This window comes from Homo sapiens, chromosome 15, assembly GCF_000001405.40.
Source record: "Homo sapiens chromosome 15, GRCh38.p14 Primary Assembly".
In the NCBI taxonomy this organism is placed as follows: domain Eukaryota; kingdom Metazoa; phylum Chordata; class Mammalia; order Primates; family Hominidae; genus Homo; species Homo sapiens.
Window position 1 is genome coordinate 78468575 of NC_000015.10, and position 21665 is coordinate 78490239.

Here is a 21665-nt window from a genome sequence, read left to right on the forward strand (position 1 = left end):
TGCACTTTAGGTTTTAAAAAGTTTAACACATTTAAGATTTAGAGTAGCTAAGAGTAATGTCCATTCATTTATCCTAAGTACCAAATAATACGTTAATTCCTTTGTCCCTGACTGGATCTTCCAAATTCTGTCTAGTTCTAAAATATTGGGCTTAATATTTTTATGAAGCCACAGGTTATAGTGACCTCGTGTGCTCTTCCTTTCTAAGGATTCAGTATAATCTCTGAGTCTTTTGCCATCAAATTTTGAAAGTTTTATGAAGTCACTTTCTTGTTCCTGTTGCCTAGTTGTCCTGGTTGTTAGGAGCATGTTGACTTTTGAGATTAACACCTCTTATACAGAAATTAATTTCCTGAAAAGGAAGATTTATTGATTCAAAATCATTGATTTCTTTAGTTTTTGTTTCTTTTTATAACTGGCACATCGTAAGTGCTTAGTGCTATATTTTTATTTCTAAAAATCCAATCTGCTGTAACATTTCCCCATAATTTTGACTCCGAATTACAAAGTATTAAGATAGATTATATTGTAGTTCCTGGCTATGTGATAATAGTTACTCATTTGTATCTTTTAATGTGTCAGTGAAGTATTAATTATTGACTTAAGAAGTTGAGTAGAAAGATGAGAGCATAACCTTTGGCACTTCAAATTACCCCCTAGTTTGAAGTCAGGTTATGAGCCAATAAATGTTTGTATGGCACTTTGTAGCCATAAGTGCTATTGAAAGGTAAAATAATTGGAGTGGCTCAGAAAGCTGTTTTCCCTGAGGCCCTGAGAAAAATCTCACTAAGATATGCTTGGCTTCAAAAGATGACTCAACTATGAATTATTAAAGTAATCTTTGTTTAAAAAAAAAAAAAGTTGTCCGAGTGTGGTGGCTCACACCTGTAATCCCAGCACTTTGGGAGGCTGAGGCGGGTGGATCAGTCACCTGAGATCGGGAGTTTGAGACCAGCCTGACTAACATGGAGAAACCCCATCTCTACTAAAAATACAAAATTAGCCGGGTGTGGTGGTGCATACCTGTAATCCCAGCTACTCAGGGGGCTGAGGTAGGAGAATCGCTTGAACCCGGTAGGGCGGAGGTTGTAGTGAGCCGAGATCATGTCATTGCACTCCAGCCTGGGCAACAAGAGCGAAACTCCGTCTCAAAAAAAAAAGGTTGACAATTAAACAACTGTAATTATCTGGACTAATTATCTGGTCCCTGGAGGACACGTATAATTTAAGTTATATTGATATTCTAGTCAACACCCAGTCACCAGCTGGCAGGTAAAAGAAGCAGCTTAAAGCTGTTTGAAATAATTTTTAAAAATAACTATTAGATAAAAATAATTTTTTAAAAATGATACTATGTTACTGGTTAGAGGTCAATTATTTTTGTCTCTTAGTTTAAATAATTCATGTAAACTATATTTATAATCCATGTAAAGTGAACTGCTACTTATACATAAAGTAGAGCCTTCTTTTGGTATGAGATGAATGAAAGATTTTTGCCAAAAGCTCTTTTTAAACTGTAAAATGATGTTGAGATGTTGTTCGTCAATGCTGCATAGAAATAATCAGCACCCATCTCCTAGTTTAATTGGCACAAGAGCCAGGTGGGGAGGAAAGTACATGCTTGTCGTTGAAGCTACTACTTTCCTCTTTTCTTGCAGCGGATAACCCAACAAAGTGTGTTTTTATTATCACTTGAGTACAGTTTTGGACATTGGTGTAATGTGGCTTTCTTACACTCAGTAAAATACAACTCACTTTTGTAGCTTTCCGGTGTGTTATTTTAAAGCAGAACTTTGTTGAAAAAGAAAATAATTCTGAGAAACCTAGTAAATAGTTCTTCCAAGGATTTTAAGAATATATTTGTGTATATATATGCCTAAGAACGATGACTTAGAAAGAAACAAGGCAAGTCTTTTTTGTAATACATACGTTTAATGCCAGCTCTTCTTCCTTTTAGACCTGAAACAGTGTTAAAAAATCAAGAAGTAGAATTCGGCAGAAATCGAGAGAGGCTTCAGTTTTTTAAGGTATAAATGATTCAGGGAAATTTTTGTATTGTAATATATAAACTAATGATAGGTACAATTTTTATATCTTTGTTTCTTTTTCTTTTCCTTTTTTTTTTTTTTTTTTTTTTTAAGACAGAATCTCGCCCTGTTACCCAGGCTGGAGTCCAGTGGCGTGATCTCAGCTTACTGCAGCCTCCACCTCCTGGGTTCAAGCAGTTCTCCTGCCTCAGCCTCCCGAGTAGCTGGGATTACAGGCGCACACCAGCACGCCTGGCTAATTTTTGTATTTTTAGTAGAGATAGGTTTTCACCATGTTGGCCAGGCTGGTCTTGAACCCCTGGCCTCAGGCAATCTGCCTGCCTCGGCCCCCCCCAAAGTGCTGGGACTACAGGCATGAGCCACCGTGCCTGCCGTATTTATTATTTTATTTATTTATTTATTTATTTTTGAGGAAGAGTCTTGCTATTGCCCAGACAGGAGTACAGTGGTGTGATCTTGGCTCACTGCAACCTCTGCCTCTTGGGTTCAAGCGATTCTTGTGCCTCAGCCTCCTGAGTAGCTGGGATTACAGATGTGCACCACTGCCTGGCTATTTTTGTATTTTTAGTAGAGACGGGGTTTTGCCATGTTGGCCAGGCTGGTCTCGAGCTCTTGGCCTCAAGCCATCTGCCTGCCTTGGCCTCCCAAAGTGCTGCGATCACAGACATGAGCCACTCTGCCCAGCCACTTTAGTAGTTTCTAAAGGTTTTATAGTAGTAGAACGCTTTTGTTCCTCAAATGAAATCTTAATTGGAAACCCTATTGTGTAGAGAAAGATGAAAACAGTGGCTCTAGTTTAGGAGAGAGAGCTTGGAGGGAGGGCCTTGTACATTGAGCCTTTCTTCCTTCTCATTCCTGAGAATCTTTGGAACGCAGTTGAATACTGCCATTTGTCTGGACTTTTTGAACATTTTTATTTGACCTAAATTAATTTTGTCTTAATAAAAAATACATTTAGGTTCAGTATCTGTATATTTGTTTTTAACTATGTGATATGAACTTTGTATTTACCATATTGAACATTAGTTAAAATATTTTTAATGTTAATATTACACCTTGATTGTGAGCACAAATTTATATACTAACATTTGTATTTCTTAAATTTAAACAAAATATAGTGGAGTTCAAGAGTTTTTAAGAATGTGGCAGTGATCCCTCCTGGAACTGGAATGGCTCATCAAATAAACTTAGAATATTTGTCAAGAGTGGTTTTTGAAGAAAAAGACCTCCTCTTCCCAGACAGTGTAGTCGGCACAGATTCACACATAACGATGGTGAATGGTTTAGGGATTCTGGGGTGGGGTAAGTAAATGACTAAATATATTTCATTTCTTTTGGGGTAAGGATGTCAAGAACATTGTAAAAGAACATAAATTATTGAGTTTGTATAGCCTCTTTGAGGCTCTGTGTTTTTCATCTGTAATAACAGCAGCAACAACAAAATCCTAATTGAGAGTTTGTGATCAGTGTTGTAAAAGAGGATTTATGAGAAGAAATTTACACAGTGTCTAGCACAGCACTACTATTTGTGAAGTAATTGAATAATTGAATGATGATGATGATACGTCTACAAAGTTTGCTTCTTTGTGTAAGGTACTTTTGTGGCTTCTCCTGGTCTTCTTTATAAGTCCAGATTTCTTGCCATTTTATACAAGGCATGTCCCTTTAGCCACTCACCCACACCCATCTTAGAGAGACTAGTCATTTCTTTACTTACGTGGGCTGTCTCTTTTCTTTTTTTTTTCTTTTTCTTTTTTTTTTGGAGACAGCATCTTGCTCTGTCACCCAGGTTGGAGTGCAGTGGCACAATCTTGGCTCACTGCAGCCTCCACCTCCTGGGTTCAAGCAATTCTTGTGCCTCAACCTCCCAAGTAGCTGGGACTACAGGCACGTGCCACCACGCCCAGCTAATTTTTGTATTTTTAGTAGAGATACGGTTTTGCTATGCTGGCCTGGCTGGTTTTGAATTCCTAGCCTTAAGTGATCCACCCACCTCGACCTCCCAAAGTGCTGGGATTACAGGCGTGAGCCACTGAGCCCAGCTAGCTATGCTCTTTTATATGCCATGACTTTGCATAGGCTATTTCTTCTGGAAGAATGCTTTCTGCCGACCGTGACTTTGTTGAAATGTGGCTACTATTAACTCATCCAAGACTGGCCTCAGTTATCTTCTGAAAGTCTTAACTCCCTTGCTGAGTTCAGTGTACCTCACTTTGTAAGCTTACTCTTTCACAGGGTGTTATAAATGTTGATTTTTTTGTGCTTTTTCATTAGACTGAACTTGTTGAGGTTGGCAGGGACTGGATTCTGTTTATATCTGTATCTTGAATACAGTGCAGTGCCTAACATAATGAATACTTAAACTAATGTTTTAACTTGAATATACTTAAAACTAATATTTTACCTTGAATATAAAGGTAAAATAATAGTTTTTCGACCGTGCGAGTGGAATCATTTCTTTTGGGAAGCCTTGGGTTCAGTGTCCACATTAATAGCAATATAGCAACTCTGCAAAGTACTGTGTAAGATAAGCTCATGAAACACCTAGAGATTCAGATGTTACAGAGATAAATGATCTTTAAATATACTGTGCTAATATACCTGTCTTTATTACGTTAGGGGTTGGAGGCATTGAAACAGAAGCAGTTATGCTTGGTCTGCCAGTTTCTCTTACTTTACCAGAGGTGGTTGGATGTGAGTTAACTGGGTCATCAAACCCTTTTGTTACATCCATAGATGTTGTTCTTGGTATTACAAAGGTAAGTTAAAGTTGTGGTAGCTCTATGACTTACTGAACATTATTTTTATAAAAATTGAAGAGCTCTATGAGAGCAGGGATTTGGGTTCATTACTGCATCCTCAGGTCTCTTGACGTTAGCCACATCATCATAGTTATCATAGTAATAACAACAAACAGAGCATTTAGTTTGTACTAATAAATACAAAGAAATTTGTTGTGTTCACTTATGTTAGCTCATTTAGTCCTTATAACAAGCCTGTGAGATGGATACTATTACTATTCTCATTGTAACTCTGAGAAAACTAAGGTACAGTAGGGTTTAGTGACTTACCAAAGGGTCGAAGGCCTGAGTAGTAAGGGGTAGAGCAAAGATTCCAGGCAGTCAGATTCTTGAGTCCATTGTCTTAACCATTATGCCTTATTAGTGCCTTGTTGCCTTAATAAACACTTGCTGACTACATTATTTTTTTTCTCTTTTTTACTTGAATTTAAAAAAAATGTTTAGCAAAAGTTGATTGTGTCGTCTTTAATTAAATTATTTGCCCATTAGAAACTGTTGCTCTACTAAGTAATGCTTTCAAAAACATGGACTGTAGAAATGTGATATATCATTTTTCTGTTGCCGTTTTAACATTTCTCTGGATTATTATGTAAAAATCTTCTCTCTGAATTTTTAAAATACTGGCTTCAGAACTTCAATACATACACTGAGCTTGTTAAGCATATTAATACACAGGCTCACGGATTTCCTAGTGAACAATAATTTGTAACTCTTCTTCCTAAATGTCTGGCCTTTGCTAACTTTATTTTAATGATTAAATCCTATTTTGTTAAATGAATGTACCTGGAAAATGTTCCACATATAATTCCAATTTGAGTCCCAATCTCAGCATTTTTGGTTAGATTATTGGTACGAAGGCTTTCCGGATACTCCAGTGTAAGGAAATGATAATGCCTCCCTCTCAGCATTTGGTATTGATCCTTCTTCCCTAATTAGAAAAGAATTTGGCATCTTAGAGAAATTATTGATTCAACGTATGATACCAAAAGATCAAGTAGTAAATTGGGAATTGCAGGATTATTCCTAGAGGAAAAGGAGTATCCCATTATGTTTTTACAGAAATCAATTCTTTACTTTAGACATCCTGAAAACTAACGCTGCTTTTTAGCCTTCTCTAGCTGTTTTTTCCTGACAATATTACTGTGTGTTTTTTGACATTTTAGTTTAATGTTAAAAAATTAATCTATTATATATGTTTACATTTATTGAATATATTATTACTTCTTTTTTGAGATCCTGTTCCATTTGTGATCCTTATAGGAATAATCCTGTATTGTTTTTTTGATGAGAGCAGCATTTGGTTTGTAATATCTAATCTGTGTTTCTTTCATCCTAAAAAATAAAACCATAGGCCGGGCGCGGTGGCTCACGCCTGTAATCCCAGCACTTTGGGAGGCCGAGGCGGGTGGATCATGAGGTCAGGAGATCGAGACCATCCTGGCTAACAAGGTGAAACCCCGTCTCTACTAAAAATACAAAAAATTAGCCGGGCGCGGTGGCGGGCGCCTGTAGTCCCAGCTTCTCGGGAGGCTGAGGCAGGAGAATGGCGTGAACCCGGGAGGCGGAGCTTGCAGTGAGCCGAGATTGCGCCACTGCAGTCCGCAGTCCGGCCTGGGCGACAGAGCGAGACTCTGTCTCAAAAAAAAAAAAAAAAAAAAAAAAACCATAAATGAGGAAACATCTTTACACTTAGGGTTTGAGTTTCTGTATCTATAAAAAAGGGTTTGGATTAAGTGATCCCTGGCACTTATAAAATGTTAGGGCTTAATATTATTCATAGATCGAGGATAGTTTCATTCTTAGTCGCCTCCTTAGTCACTCTTCCTATACCAATCTGAGACCATTTTACAATTTAGAAAAGACAAATAACTGGTTGGGTTACTTGATAGTATAATAACCAAGAAAAATAATTTTAGAAGGAATTAAGTTTGAAACCACATGTTAACAAATTCTACCAAAGTGGGATTTGCCTGTGATTAAAGATGCTGTAAACATTTGGGCCAGTAGTTATAATTTGAAAAATGTTTATAGCCAATATATAATTTTTTATTTAAATATACAGTTTCATCAGTCTATTAGTATTTCATTAAGTCTAAGATGCCATCAGTGGTTAGCAAACACCACTGTTTTATGCACTGCTAAGAAAGAATAAAGGGCTGTGTGCAGTGGCTCACACCTGTGGGACGCCAAGGCAGGAGCATCACTTGAGGCCAGAAGTTCAAGACCAACCTGGTCAACATTGTAAGACCCTGTCTCTACAAAAAAAAAAAAGTTAAAAATTAGCTGGGTGCGGTGGCACATGCCTGTAGTTCCAGCTACTCTGGAGGCTAAGGTGGGAGGATTGCTAGAGCCACGGTGTTGGAAGCTGCAGTGAGCTGTGACCACACCACTGCGCTCCAGCCTGGGCAACAGAGTGAGACCCTGTTTCTAAAAGAAAGAAAGAAAAAGGGCTGCCACCTAAACAGACACACTATTGAGTTGAGGTACCCTGATTTCAAAGACATGAAAATGTTAATTATAGCCACCTTGAGCTTTCAGGCCCCTTTCTACCCTGATTAACAGTGACATTGGACCAGTCTTCTCTTTACTTCTTATCTTAAAATACCCCCAAAACCAGAATGAGTTGATTCATAAGGACAATGAAGGATCTCATTCCTTCACCATCACTAGTATTGGTTAAAAATTTTATTTTATAGTTTTCAGACAATCGTTGCTAATCTTATCTTTGCAATTTTGTATGTGTTTCTGTGTATTCCTTATATAGCACCTCAGGCAAGTAGGAGTGGCTGGAAAGTTTGTTGAGTTTTTTGGAAGTGGAGTTTCACAATTATCTATAGTTGATCGAACTACAATAGCAAACATGTGTCCGGAATATGGTGCTATCCTCAGCTTTTTCCCTGTTGACAATGTGACATTAAAACATTTAGAACATACAGGTAAGAAGATAAAAGATCACTAGAATAAACATGTTACATTTCCAATGTGTTTGATAATATTTTATAAATTACTACCTTATCCATGTTATTTACTATTCACAAAATTACATTATGTTGAAACAACAACTTTCAAGCAAACATCAGATGTCTTTAAAGAGTGTTGTGTCCTCAAACCCTAGTTCCCTGTGACACATTGAAAGCAATTTAAAGGAATTATTCAAACCATTGATCCTGACTTGACTGTTTCCCCATAATGATGGATACCTCCACCTCTACTTAGGGGTCATAGGTTGCAATTTAATGGAAGTCAGCCTTAAACATATTCACAGCAGTCCCCTTCTACAACCAAGAGTAGAGGAGCTATCAGACAAAGGGGTTTGGGGACCAGTCTTCTATCTAGAGAAGAAGAAGAAGCGCAAAATTTTGCAAAAAACAACATAGGACCACAGTTTCTAAATCTTTTTGTAACCTGATTAACTAGAAATTTTGGCCACTCTTCCATTGGCTGTTTAGATTAAAACAGAAAGTATCTACAAAACAAGATATGTTGATATTTCATAAGTCTGCTATTTAAAAAGTAAGATCTCTTTTTTTAATCTCTTTAATGAGGTAATCATTGCTGAGTTACTCATTTCTAAGTATAGATATTTATTTGGAGGATATATTCTAGTATTCTTCAGTGTGCAGGCAGATTATTATGTTAGTTAATCAGACAGCAAAATTGATGAATGGTTATATAGAATCCTGGAGGGAATGATCCCCCCAAGTGCAAAACTTCTGCATTTGAGTTAGTAGAACATTCAAAGTAGAAATGGTTAGAAGTGCCTCGTTCCTTGCATATTAATCTTGAGTTAAGGTTTTAGTGATCCTGTGTAACAAATTATCCTAAAATTTAGTGGCTTGCACAAGCAGTAATTACTAGCTCATGGTTTCAGTGGGGTCGGTAATTCAGACAGGGCACAGTGGGGACAGCTCATCTCTGTTTCATGTCTTGAGCCTCAACTGCAAGATTTGAAAGGAAGGGCCTGCAATCCTGAAGGCTTGTTGTGCTTGCATGTCTAACAGCAAATTATGAGCTGTCAGCTGAGGACTTAGGTAAGTCTATCAGGCAAAACACCCTCATGTGGTTTCTCCGTGTAGTCTGGGCTTGCTCACGTGGTAGATTCTCAAGGGTTAGGAGAAAGAGAAATGTAAATGAATATGTAAATAGTATTTGTTTCTTGTTCATCACTGGAATTCAGTATCCTTACCCCCAAAGATTTCAAAATTCCTTACTGAGGCCAGGCTCAGTGGCTTACAGCTATGATCCTAGCACTTCGGGAGGCTGAGGCGGGAGGATCACATGAGTCCAGGAGTTTAAGACTAGCTTGGGCAACATAGCAAGACCCCCATCTGTACAAGAAAATTAAAAATTAGCCAGGTGTGGCAGTACAGACTTATAGTCCTAGCAACTTGAGAGGCTAAGGCGGGAGAATCACTTGAACCCAGGAGTTCAAAACTGCAGTGGGCTATGATGGCACCACTGTACTCCAGCCTAGGTGACACAGTGAGACCCTGTTTCTAAAAATAATAAATTTATTGGCGGGGTGTGGTGGCTCATACCCATAATTCCAGCCCTTTGGGAGGCCAAGGCAGGAGGATCTCTTGAGGCTGAGAGTTCGAAACCAACCTATTCAAAAAAAACAAGACCCTCCCGCCACCCCATCTGTACAAAACATTTGTAAAAAAAAAAAAAAAAAATTAACCAGGCACGGTGGGGTGCTACTTGGGAGGCTGACATGGGAGGATTGCTTGAGCTCGGGAGGTCAAGGTTGCAGTGAGCTGTGATTGCAGCACTGCGCTCCAGCCTGGGCAACAAAGTGAAACCCTGTCTGAAAAAAATAATAACTAAATAAATTTCTCACTGCATTTTGTTGTTTTGTTCATCTTCGTTTTAGGTTTTAGCAAAGCCAAACTCGAATCAATGGAAACATACCTTAAAGCTGTGAAATTGTTTCGAAATGACCAGAATTCTTCAGGAGAACCTGAATACTCCCAGGTATATGCAGAATAACCCACCTCGTAGCAAAGAGTGTAAATTGTGGTGTAATCCCAGCGCTTTGAAAGGTTGGGGTGGGTTGATTGTTTGAGTTCAAGAGTTTGAGACCAGCCTGGGCAATATGGTAAAACCCTGTCACTGCAAAAAAACTACAAACATTAGCTGGGCATGGCTTGCGCCTGTGGTCCCAAGTACCTGGGAGGCTGAGGTGGGAGGATCACTTGAGCCTGTGGGGCGAAAGAAAGTTGCAGTGAGCTGAGATTGTGCCACTGCACTCTAGACTAGGTAACAGAGTGAGACTTGTGTCAAAAAGGAAAAAAATAATAATAATAAATTCTAGAGTACCTGACCACCTGGGTTTGAATCCCAGCTCTAAGACGTGTTAGCTGTATAACCTTGGGCAATTTATTTAGCCTTTCTGCCTCAGTTTTCTCATCTGTTAGATATGACAATATCTACCTCTAAGGATTCTTAGATATTAAAAACAAATTCATAGAATAGTTCCAGGCACATAGTAAATGCTCAATAAGGGGTAGCTAATCTTTTTGTTTTGCTTTTTGAGACCCAGTCCGGCTCTTTCACCAGACTAGAGTGCAGTGGCACAATCATGGTTCACTGTAGCCTCAACCTCTGTGCTCAAGCTCCCACCTTGCTGGGATTACAGACATGAGCCACCACCATGCTTAACCCCTGTTTTGTTTTAATATTACTATTTTTTTAATATTATTATTTTTTGGACCCTGGGCAGGGTCTCATTTTATTTTACTGCCCAGGCTGGTCTCATACTTCTGGTTTCAGGGGATTCTCTAGTCTTGGCCTCCCAGAGTGCTGGGATTACAGGCATGAGCCACTGGACCTGGCTGAGGGGGTAGCTATCATTATTATTATTATTTAAGTAATGTTATTGTAGCCCAGTGCTTTTGTTTTATTCATTAATTTTACATAGAGTTTTATTATAGTGAATTTTGTAATATCTTATGAAGTCTAGTTGTGGTTTTTGGATTTTTTTTTTTTTTTTGGTAGAGAGAGGATTTTGCCGTGTTGCTTAGGGTGGTCTTAAACTCCTGGCCTCAAGCAATTCCTCCTGCCTTGGCCTCTCAAATTGCTGGGATTACAGGTGTGAACCACCAAGCCCAGCCTATGAAGTCTAATTTTTTAGTGTTTAAAATAATAGTAGTGACTCTTAATTCTTGCTCTAATTTATTTCTACTTTATGATAAGAGTAATATCTCCCTTCAGAATAATCAGTTTCGATGTTATCTGCATCTGGTTTACTTGTGTATTTTGCAAAATTCCGCTATTAAAGGTATACACTATTATGCAGTCTTACTTGTTAGTTTTAAAGATATTTTACAATCTAAGTAAATACTGAAATTATCCAGGAGTAGTGGCATGCTCCCGTGGTTCCACATCCTCAGGAGGCTGAGTAGGGACGATGGCTTGAGCCCAGGAGGTCAAGGCTGCAGTGAGCTGTGGTCATGCCACTGCACTCTAGCCTGGGCAACAGAATGAGACAGTGTCTAAAAAAAAAAAAAAAAATCTGTTGGAAATTTATATCAAAATAGGCAGAATTCACTTCCAGGGAAGCCTTAATTTTAATAAAATTCATTTTCTAGGAGTGTGTCAAGGATTTCTAACAACATGGTTTTACAGTTTTGGTTAACTGTTCATTAAACTCCATGAGGACAGGAACTTTGGTTTGGTATTGTATCCCCAGCTCCTAGAACAATTGCTGGCACATAGTAGATATTCAGTAAACGTGTTAGGTGAATAAATGAATCCATATAGGACCCATAGAAATTGAATTTGTGTGCTACTTTGGGCAAATCTTTTTACTTCTGATCATTTTCCAATCATTTTCACCTCTATTAGATCTAGTGCTTTGTCCATTTTTTTTCCTTGTTCACATTTTTTAAAATCCATAAATGGAAAGAATAAGAACAATGGGAAAACTTTGGTGGTAGAATAAAATGAAATAAATATGCCTGTTAAAAACCCTTGGCCAGGTGCGGTGGCTCACGCCTGTAATCCCAGCACTTTGGGAGGCTGAGGCAGGCAGATCACCTCCTGAGGTCAGGAGTTCACGACCAGCCTAGCCAACATGGTGAAACCCCATCTCTACTAAAAATACAAAAAAATAAATTAGCCAGGTGTGGTGGTGGGGGCCTGTAATCCCAGCTACTCAGGAGGCTGAGGCATGAGAATCGCTTGAACCCAGAAGGCGGAGGTTGCAGTGAGCTGAGATGACACCACTACATTTCAGCCTGGGCAACAGAATGAGACTGTCTTAAAAAAAAAAAAAAAAAAAATGTCTGGCCGGGCGTGGTGGCTCACGCCTGTAATCCTAGCACTTTGGGAGGCCCGCACTTTGGGAGGCCGAAACAGGCAAATCATGAGGTCAGGAGGTCCAGACCATCCTGGGTAACACGGTGAAACCCCATTTCTACTAAAAATACAAAAAATTAGCTGGGCATGGTGGCATGCGCCTGTAGTCCCAGCTACTCAGGAGGCTGAGGCAGGAGAATTGCTTGAACCTGGGAGACAGAGGTTGCAATGAGCTGAGATGGCACCACTGTATTCCAGCCTGGGCAACAGAGCGAGACTCTGTCTCAAAAAAAAAAAAAAATTTCCCAGCAGACCAGGTGTGGTGGCTTATGCCTGTAATTACAACCCTTTGGGAGGCCAAGGCAAGAGGATTACTTAAGGCCAGAAGTTCAGGACTAGCATCATAAGCAAGGCCCTGTCCCTAGAGAAAGGGGATGGATGGCCCGAGCCCCTGAGTTTGAAGCTGCAGTGAGCTATGATCGAGTCAATGCACTCCAGCCTTGAGCGATAGCAAGACCCACCCATGCTGGAGTGCAGTGGCGTGATCACGGCTCACTGCAACCTCCATTTCCTGGGTTGAAGTGATTCTCCTGCCTCAGCCTCCTGAGTAGCTAGGATTACAGACATGCGCCACCATGCCCGGCTTTTTTTTTTGAGAGAATCTCGCTCTGTCACCAGGCTGGAGTGCAGTGACACGATCTTGGCTCACTCCAAGCTCTGCCTCCCAGGTTCATGCCATTCTCCTGCCTCAGCCTCCCAGGTAGCTGAGACTACAGGTGCCCGCCACCACACCTCGCTAATTTTTTTTTTTTTTTTGTATTTTTAATAGAGACGGGGTTTCACCGTGTTAGCCAGGATGGTCTCGATCTCCTGACCTCATGATCCGCCTGCCTCGGCCTCCCAAAGTGCAGGGATTACAGGCCTGAGCCACCGCGCCCGGCCTATTTTTTGTATTTTTAGTAGAGATGGGGTTTCACCGTGTTGGCCAGGATGGTCTCAAACTCTTGACCTCAAGTGATCCACCCGCCTCAGCCTCTCAAATTGCTGGGATACAGACATGAGCCGCCGCGCCCGGCCCAAGACCCTGTCTCTTAAGAAAAAAACAAAAAACAAACCTGACCATGTAAAGAAATAAAACTAAAATCATTAGGATGTTGATTTCAAGAGAAACTTCTTAAATGGATATTTATGGGCAAAGACTAGGATCGCCTGAATCCATTAAATGAAAGTATAAGTAAGCCAGGTGTGGTTATTCTTGCGTGTAATCCCAGCACTTTGGGAGGCTGAGGCGGGAGGATTGCTTGAGCTCAGGACCAGCCTGGGCAACATAGTGAGACCTCACCTCTGCTAAAATTCACTTAGCCAGGCGTGGTGGCGCATGCCTGTAGTCCCAGCTACTTGTGGGGCTAAGGCGGGAGGATCACTTGAGCCCAGGAGGTTGAGGCTGCATTTAGTCCTGACTGTGCCACTGCGCTCCAGCCTGGGCAACAGAGTGAGACCCTTTCACAATAAAAATAATAATAATAATAAATAAATACAGTGTAAGTAGTTGGATCAGTCAGAATAAACAGGGATATAAAATAATGTTGAAAGCCATGATGAAAAGTTTCAAGATGGTTATATTCACATAAAATGCATGAAGGAAACGATAGAAATGCCAGAAGAAATAAATAGGAATCTAGTTGGAAGTGGGATTTTTAACAAAAAATACGTTTCTTAACCAAGGAATAGAACCCTGAGTTGCAGCAGGCTGGCCAGTGAAACCCTCTGGAACAGGAAAAAGAACGCTTTCTCTGCTGTGTCCCTTCAGCACCCTCTAGTGACCAGTCTTCACATTCTTCACATCATGTGTGCTGACAAAGGAGAAATGTTTACTAACCGTTTACCTCTGTGATCACAGAGCGGGCAGGAGGGTAGATTTGGAGCTCAGAGGCAATAAGTTGATAGCTGGCATAGGCATCTATTTTATCATTGGACATCTGTTAAGACAGTGTTTATCTTTGTGGGAAAAAACACTTGGGAAACCAGGTTTTTTTTTTTTTTGAGACGGAGTCTCGCTGTGTTACCCAGGCTGGAGTGCAGTGGCGCGATCTTGGCTCACTGCAAGCTCCGCCTCCTGGGTTCACGCCATTCCCCTGCCTCAGCCTCCCGAGTAGCTGGGACTACAGGCGCCCACCACCACGCCCGGCTAATTTTTTAGTAGAGACGAGGTTTCACTGTGTTAGCCATGATGGTCTTGATCTCCTGACCTCGTGACCTGCCCACCTCGGCCTCCCAGAGTGCTGGGATTACAGGTGTGAGCCACCGCGCCCGGCCCCAGATTTTGTATATGCAGTACAATTGGTGTTGTGGTAGTTTAATTGCATACTGATCTACTAGTCTTGATTTTAGCAAATTTTCATGTTTCGTACATTTAAATGTGCTTGTTTTAAAATCTTTATTTCTTGGGGTTGAGGGTGTATTATACTATTAAAATAAATTGCATTAAAATAAATACGAATATACTTACTCTGCTTTAGAAAGTAATGCTTCAATTGGAATCTGTCGTAAGGAATTAATTCTAATTCCTTGTTCTTTCTCTTTCTCATTTCTTAGGTGATCCAGATTAATCTGAATTCAATAGTTCCATCTGTTAGTGGTCCAAAAAGACCTCAGGATAGAGTTGCTGTGACAGATATGAAAAGCGATTTCCAGGCTTGCTTAAATGAAAAGGTAGGTTACTTTATTCTTATCCGTGTTTTTCAACCCGCTTTGTGCTAAGTAGTAAAGAACCAACAAGGTGACCCATAAACTCAATTCACTGCTATGTTTTATATATTATGGCACACACCAGCAGCCCCCTTATTTTCCTTCTGTCTAATGTGCAAGTCAGTCATTAGGTAAGCTTGTTCCCAGTTCCATTGTGAGGATCAGAGATTGATTGTGTCTATTTAAATTAAAATTATATACAATTTAAAATTGAGTTTCTTAGTCACAGTAGTCTCATTTTTAAATGCTGAATACATATGGGTCTTGTATTGATGAACAGCATAGATAATTGAATAGTTACATCATCACAGAAACTTTTTTTTTTTTTTTTGAGACAGAGTCTCACTTTGTTGCCCAAGCTGGAGTGCAGTGGCACAATCTCGGCTCACTGCAACCTCCCCCCTCCCGGGCTCAAGCGATTCTCCTGCCTCAGCCCCCAAAGTAGTTGGAATTACAGGAGTCTACCATCATTCCTGGGTAATTTTTGTATTTTTAGTAGAGACAGGGTTTCACCATGTTGGCCAGACTGGTCTTCAACTCCTGACCTCAAGTGATCTGCCCACCTCAGCCTCCCAACAGTGCTGGGATTATAGCCATGAGCCACCGCACCTGGCCTACAGTCATAAAATTTGGTAAATGTGACCGAGTAGCAAGTGGTCTCTGGCTTTTGAGGGTTTGTATTTTCTGTCTGAGAATCACAGTTTTAGTCTTGTCACTTTCTCTATTCTGAGATCTCTAGTACTTGGCTTTCCTTTCAGAGCCTTTCTTTTTATGATTTCTTGACTTTTTGTTCAGAAAGTGTTAAACTTGTACAAAAACAAAATAGTCCACTGAATTGCCATGTACCTGTCAATTAGCTTCAATAATTAGCAACTCATAGCCAATCTTGTTTCAGCTATGCTACACTCACACACATAGGATCCCTTTGGAGGAAATCTTCGGGGTCATTTTAACAGAAAAAAATTTCTGCCATCTCTTGAGAATTACTATAAACAGGGATGATTAAGAACAACAAAGCCAAATGAGATCTGGATTCTGGGTGGTAGGCTGGACTCGCTTAGTAGATAAAAGTTTTGCTTGTGAACATCACCAGACTCCTGTCGTGCCCATGCAGATTTATGCTTCAGCTGAATTACAACTACTGAATGTTATGGGCCTTTAGCATCACTCACAAAAAGGATTTTTAATGTTAAATCATCAAATGTCCGGTATCTGCTATGTTTTCTGCCAGTCTTTTATTCTGTACATACCCAGAATATTTAGTTTATATTTTTGTGGAAATTTGTATAGGTTGGATTTAAAGGCTTCCAAATTGCAGCTGAAAAACAAAAGGATATTGTCTCCATTCATTATGAAGGAAGTGAATATAAGCTGTCTCATGGATCAGTGGTCATTGCTGCAGTTATCAGTTGTACCAATAATTGCAATCCATCTGTCATGCTTGCTGCAGGTGGGTTGTGGTTTATGGCCATACTTTTTCTTTTTCCTTAATTATTGTTGGCTTTTCTGTTATTGTAACTTTGTTTCTTAGATGATGCATGAGTGTCTACATTTGATATTGAGAGACTTTCTAGTATTTTAGTTAGGTCTTAAGGAGCCTGAGTTTGATTTATGTTGTTTTTATTACACCGAAGGTAAATTTACTGTTTACTATAACTTACCTGTCAATTAATTTTAGGTTGTATCTGCTTCTCTTGTTAATTTAGAACTATAGTTAATTAGCAGGTATTTCTTGATTATCTAGAAGTTAACCATAACAGTGTGGTAGATTTCATTAAAAGTTATAAAAGTAGTAAAAGATCATTGTCTTGGCAAGGATTGTAAATGAAATTAATTTGTATGCCCATTGGAACAATTCCTTAGTTGTATAAAACCATGTATAATGTGTTACATTGCTCTTATTGTAATTATGACTTTAAAATGGTTTGCTTTAGAAAAAAGAAGAAAGAGAAAAAATGGTTTTGTTAACATGTACTTATATATGTGCACCTTTTGTTTACTCTGTGTGAATGATGTCAGCCTGTATCTTAATAATTTTCAACATAAAGGCTGTAATTTTAAATTTGTTGTAAATGAAGCAAATCAGTAGAATAAAGTGGACAAAATAATGACAGTAAGTTTATGAATTCATACTTTAATCTGTTAAATAAATTACTTCTCACTTTTTACTTTAATATGGGTGAGAGAGGGAAAGAAACATTGCCATAATAAATCATTGTTTGTTGGCTGTGCAGGTCTTTTGGCTAAAAAGGCTGTTGAAGCTGGTCTGCGTGTTAAACCTTATATAAGAACAAGTTTATCTCCAGGCAGTGGGATGGTTACACATTACCTCAGTTCAAGTGGAGTATTACCATATCTAAGTAAGCTTGGGTAAGTAACAGCTATCGCACTTCATATTGATATTGGTGTTCAGTAGGTACTGAAGCTGCTTGTTTGTGCCTTTCATATACAAAGAGAAGATAGAAAAAATATGCTTTAGTTTTACTTGCTACCTTGCCATTACCATACAATTTTTGATGCCTTATCACTCAGGAAACACTTATTGGGCATATCAAATGAGCAAAGCACCAGGTTGGATACACAGAAGTAGGAGATGTGGTCTTAGCTTCAAGATACTTAGTTGGGAAGACAAGACAAACAAGTACAACCAAATAACAGTTACAGTGTAAGAAACGATACCAAGTATGCACAATTTCTGTGAGTTGTGTAGGTCAGTTCAAAAAAGAAAGAAATCTTATAGTTTGCATTTATTAACTGAAAATTGTCTTAATTTTAGTTTTATGAGGTTATTGGGTCTATAATACATAAGTTTAAATTGTCCCTGAACTTTGGAGAAAGTAACTTATGTTTTTTGGGCTGGGCGCGGTGGCTCACGCCTGTAATCCCAGCACTTGGGGAGGCCGAGGCAGGCAAATCATGAGGCCAGGAGTTTGAGACCAGCCTGGCCAATATGGTGAAACCCCGTCTCCACAAAAAATACCAAAATTAGCCAGGCGTGGTGACGCACACCCATAGTCCCAGCTACTCAGGAGGCTGAGGCAGAAGAATTGCTTTAACCTGGGAAGCGGAGGTTGCAGTGAACCCAGATCGTGCCGCTGCACTCCAGCCTGGGCGACAGAGCGAGACTCCATCTCAAAAAGAAAAAAAAAAAAGTAACCTATGTTTTTTATGTAATCCAAAACAATTGATGCTAGTTGTGTGGGGATTTTTTGGTTTTGAGACAGTGTCTTGCTCTATTGCCCACACTGGAGTGCAGTGGTGCAATCACAGCTCATTGCAGCCTCGACCTCCTAGGCTCAATCAGTCTTCCTACCTCAGCCTCCTGAGTGGCTGGGACCGCAGGTGTGCACCACCACACCCAGCTAATTTTTATGTTTTTAGCAGAGACAGAGTTTCACTGTGTTGGCCAGGCTCGTCTCAAACTTGTTCCCTTAAGTGATCGGCTCGTCTTGGCCCCCGAAAGTGTTGGGATTACAGGCCTGAGCCACCACACCCAGCCTAGTTATATTTTCGGTGTGTATTTTGGAACATATGAGTCATCAATTCCATTGCAAAACTGATAAATTTTAGACTTTTTTGCTTTTAGAATAGCATCTGAAAGTAATTTAGAGGACTGTGCCTGTAATCTTTTGGTTATATTATCTTGGATTTATTGTCAGAGACTCTTCTTGGGTTTAACTGGTTGATAATTGAGAGATTACTCCTATCAGAGTGCCCAATTACAATCAATGCCTCTTTTGGGACCTTTGGTCAGGTTATTATAGCCAGGTCCTCTTTACATTTTAAACTCTTGGATGGAAGTACAGTATCAATTATTTTAAAAGGTCATGTTATATTCCTAGCAAGTAGTATTTGGGGGAATTCTCTTGTACAGTGATAAGTGCTATTAAGGCTCTTCAAAGGTTTGCATTCACCTTTGAGACCAGCCTGAGCATTTTTATTTTTTATTTTACAAAAAATAAAAAAATTAGCTGGGCCTGGTGGCGAGCGCCTGTGGCCCCAGCTACTTAGGAGGCCAAGGAGCAGGATTGCTTGAGCCCAGGAGGTTAAGGCTGCAGTGAGCTGGTTCAAATAGCATGCCTGAGAGTTAGACTTGATTGCTCAGAATCTTCTGAGGTGAATATATTGATGAAGGTTAATCCATGTGTCATGAATAGTCTTTTAAGTAATCTTATTACAGTGATAGAAATACAAGATAAGACTTGTCCTTTCTCTATAAATGTTGTGATGTGCTATTCAGTCACTTTTTTTTTGAAATGCAGATTTGAAATCGTTGGCTATGGATGTTCAATTTGTGTGGGAAATACAGCACCCTTATCAGACGCAGTTTTAAATGCAGTAAAACAGGTAAAATGTGTGGATTGGCAAGACATCTAAATGATTTTCTTAACTATGTTTTGTTACTAAATTATAGAAAATATATATTGATGTGTTTATATTTCTGTAAACTCTGCACCTCTTGGCAATAGTAACCTGTGAATCTTTAAATGATTCAATGAATCATTTGTAGATCCTTGAAATAATTCCTTCATAATACAAGGAATTGATTTAGTTTATTTGCAAGATGCATAGTTCTATATTTAAAAATTAGTAATATGTTTTTTGGTTAATCTCGCCCTCAGACTTTAAGATTGCTTATATATGATTATCCAGATTTGTACCATCTCTAGAATTGAATTTATTTGTTTGTGTGTTTGTGTTTTTTTCAGGGTGATTTGGTTACCTGTGGAATTTTATCTGGAAACAAAAATTTTGAAGGTCGTCTTTGTGATTGTGTTCGTGCCAATTATCTTGCCTCTCCACCCTTAGTGGTAGCTTATGCCATAGCAGGCACAGTGAATATAGATTTCCAGACAGAACCTTTAGGTATCTTTTCCTTTATGTATATGTATACCTACACATACTTTTCCCAATGGAAGTCGTTATATTTTTGAAATGTTTCTTAGACCATCTATTCTTTGAATTATTTCAGGAAGACGTATGATAATGTATAGTTATTAATTTCTGTGTTTATGTGAAGAAAATAAAATGTACAGGTAATTAGTTCTTCCAGCCGCTTAAGCCTGAAGCACCCTGTTGAATCATTTACTTGATTTCCATGATATGTCTTTGAAAAGGTATGAACATTTTCAGAGTTATTTTTTTACTGAGTATCATGTTCAAAAATTTTAACCAGGTACTGACCCCACCGGCAAGAACATTTACCTGCATGATATTTGGCCTAGTCGAGAAGAAGTTCATCGAGTAGAGGAAGAACATGTTATACTATCCATGTTTAAAGCATTAAAAGATAAAATAGAAGTAAGAGTCTTATGTGTTTCTTAAATAGTTTAATCAATTTGCAGTGTTCTTTTATTTCATATATCTTCTGAATAGAATAAAAATTAAAATTACATTATTTTGAATACAGTTTTTAATGTGTAATAGTAAGTTTGTATCTGGAATCTGTAGTTAAAAAGAAAATGGCGGCTGGGCACAGTGGCTCACGCCTGTAATCCCGACACTTTGGGAGGCTGAAGCAGGTTGATCACGTGAGGTCCGGAGCTCAAGACCAGCCTGACCAACATGGAGAAACCGCATCTCTACTAAAAATACAAAACAATTAGCCAGGCTTGGTGGCGCATGCCTGTAATCCCAGCTACTCAGGAGGCTGAGGCAGGAGAATCACTTGAACCTGGGAGGCGGAGGTTGCGGTGATCCGAGATCGCGCCACTGCACTCCAGCCTGGGCAACAAGAGTGCAACTCTGTCTCAAAAAAAAAAAAAAAAGAAAGAAAATGTCTTAGAGGATCAGAATTCATTAGTGTTGATTGGATGATCTGTGCAGCAAACCACCATGGCACACATTTACCTATGTAACAAACCTGCACATCCCGCATATGTACCCCAGAAGTTAAAATAACAGTTGAGGGGGGAAAAGAAAGAATTGATTAGGTGTTCAGAATACATCATTGAACAAAACACAAAATTCTCCTGGGGAGAGGCAAATAAGCTGTAAAGAGAATAATTAGCTAAATTATGCAATATTTATTATTTTTTATTATTTATTTTTTGGTGTTTTTTGGGAGATGGCACCCCACTCTGTCACCCAGGCTGGAGTGCAGTGGCCTGAAGCAGCTCACTGCAGCCTTAACCTCCTGGACTCAAGCAATCCTGCTCCTCAGCCTCCTGAGTAGCTGGGGCCACAGGCGCTCACCATCAGGCCCAGCTAATTTTTTATTTTTTGTAAAATAAAAAATAAAAAATGCTCAGGCTGGTCTCAAACTCCTGGACTCAAGTGATCCGCCCACCTCAGCCTCCCAAAGTGTTGGGTTTACAGGCGTGAGCCACTGTGCCTGGCCTAAGAAATGGTGAGATTTTTGGCTGTAGTTTGAAGGCGTTGATGTGGAACAAATACATTGAAAAAGCAGAGGTTTTTCTCCATTATAACATTCTTAGACATTAACAGCATACCTCATACATGCTTAATCTCTCTGTAGCAACATATAGAAATCTTTCTAAATTCTTTAACTTTTTTGGACTCTGTGAAGTCTTTATGTTCTGTTTATATTGAAACTTGCCCCTTGGAGTGTTCCTGAACATCTGGTATGCTAGAATTTGAGGAGCAAATTTTTAATCATTCTGTCCAAAAACATCATGATTTTTTAGAACACACTGTTTTGGCTGGGCATGGTGGCTAATGCCTATAATCCCAACCCTCAGGGAGGCCAAGGCCCACGTATCGCTTGAGCTCAGGAGTTTAAGACCAGCCTGGGCAAAAATAAAAATTT

The 21665-nt window shown here is 39.4% G+C and overlaps 1 protein-coding gene across 5 annotated transcripts in view; it reads left to right on the plus strand.

The window, feature by feature from the left end:
- Positions 1 to 21665, plus strand: part of IREB2 (iron responsive element binding protein 2) — a 64023-nt gene that overhangs the window by 31144 nt on the left and 11214 nt on the right. For 3 of the 5 annotated variants that reach the window (NM_001354994.2, NM_004136.4, NM_001320942.2), the window contains exons 6-16: positions 1958 to 2027; positions 3167 to 3350; positions 4668 to 4807; positions 7614 to 7785; positions 9723 to 9823; positions 14744 to 14860; positions 16187 to 16346; positions 17131 to 17266; positions 19159 to 19243; positions 19606 to 19762; positions 20073 to 20197. In NM_001354994.2, coding sequence (NP_001341923.2) covers positions 1958 to 2027; positions 3167 to 3350; positions 4668 to 4807; positions 7614 to 7785; positions 9723 to 9823; positions 14744 to 14860; positions 16187 to 16346; positions 17131 to 17266; positions 19159 to 19243; positions 19606 to 19762; positions 20073 to 20197 — 1447 coding nt within the window. Of the gene's footprint in view, positions 1 to 1957; positions 2028 to 3166; positions 3351 to 4667; positions 8127 to 9722; positions 9824 to 14743; positions 14861 to 16186; positions 16347 to 17130; positions 17267 to 19158; positions 19244 to 19605; positions 19763 to 20072; positions 20198 to 21665 lie in introns of those variants that run through there. The other 2 variants (NM_001320941.2, NM_001320943.2) reach the window with 2 other exon arrangements.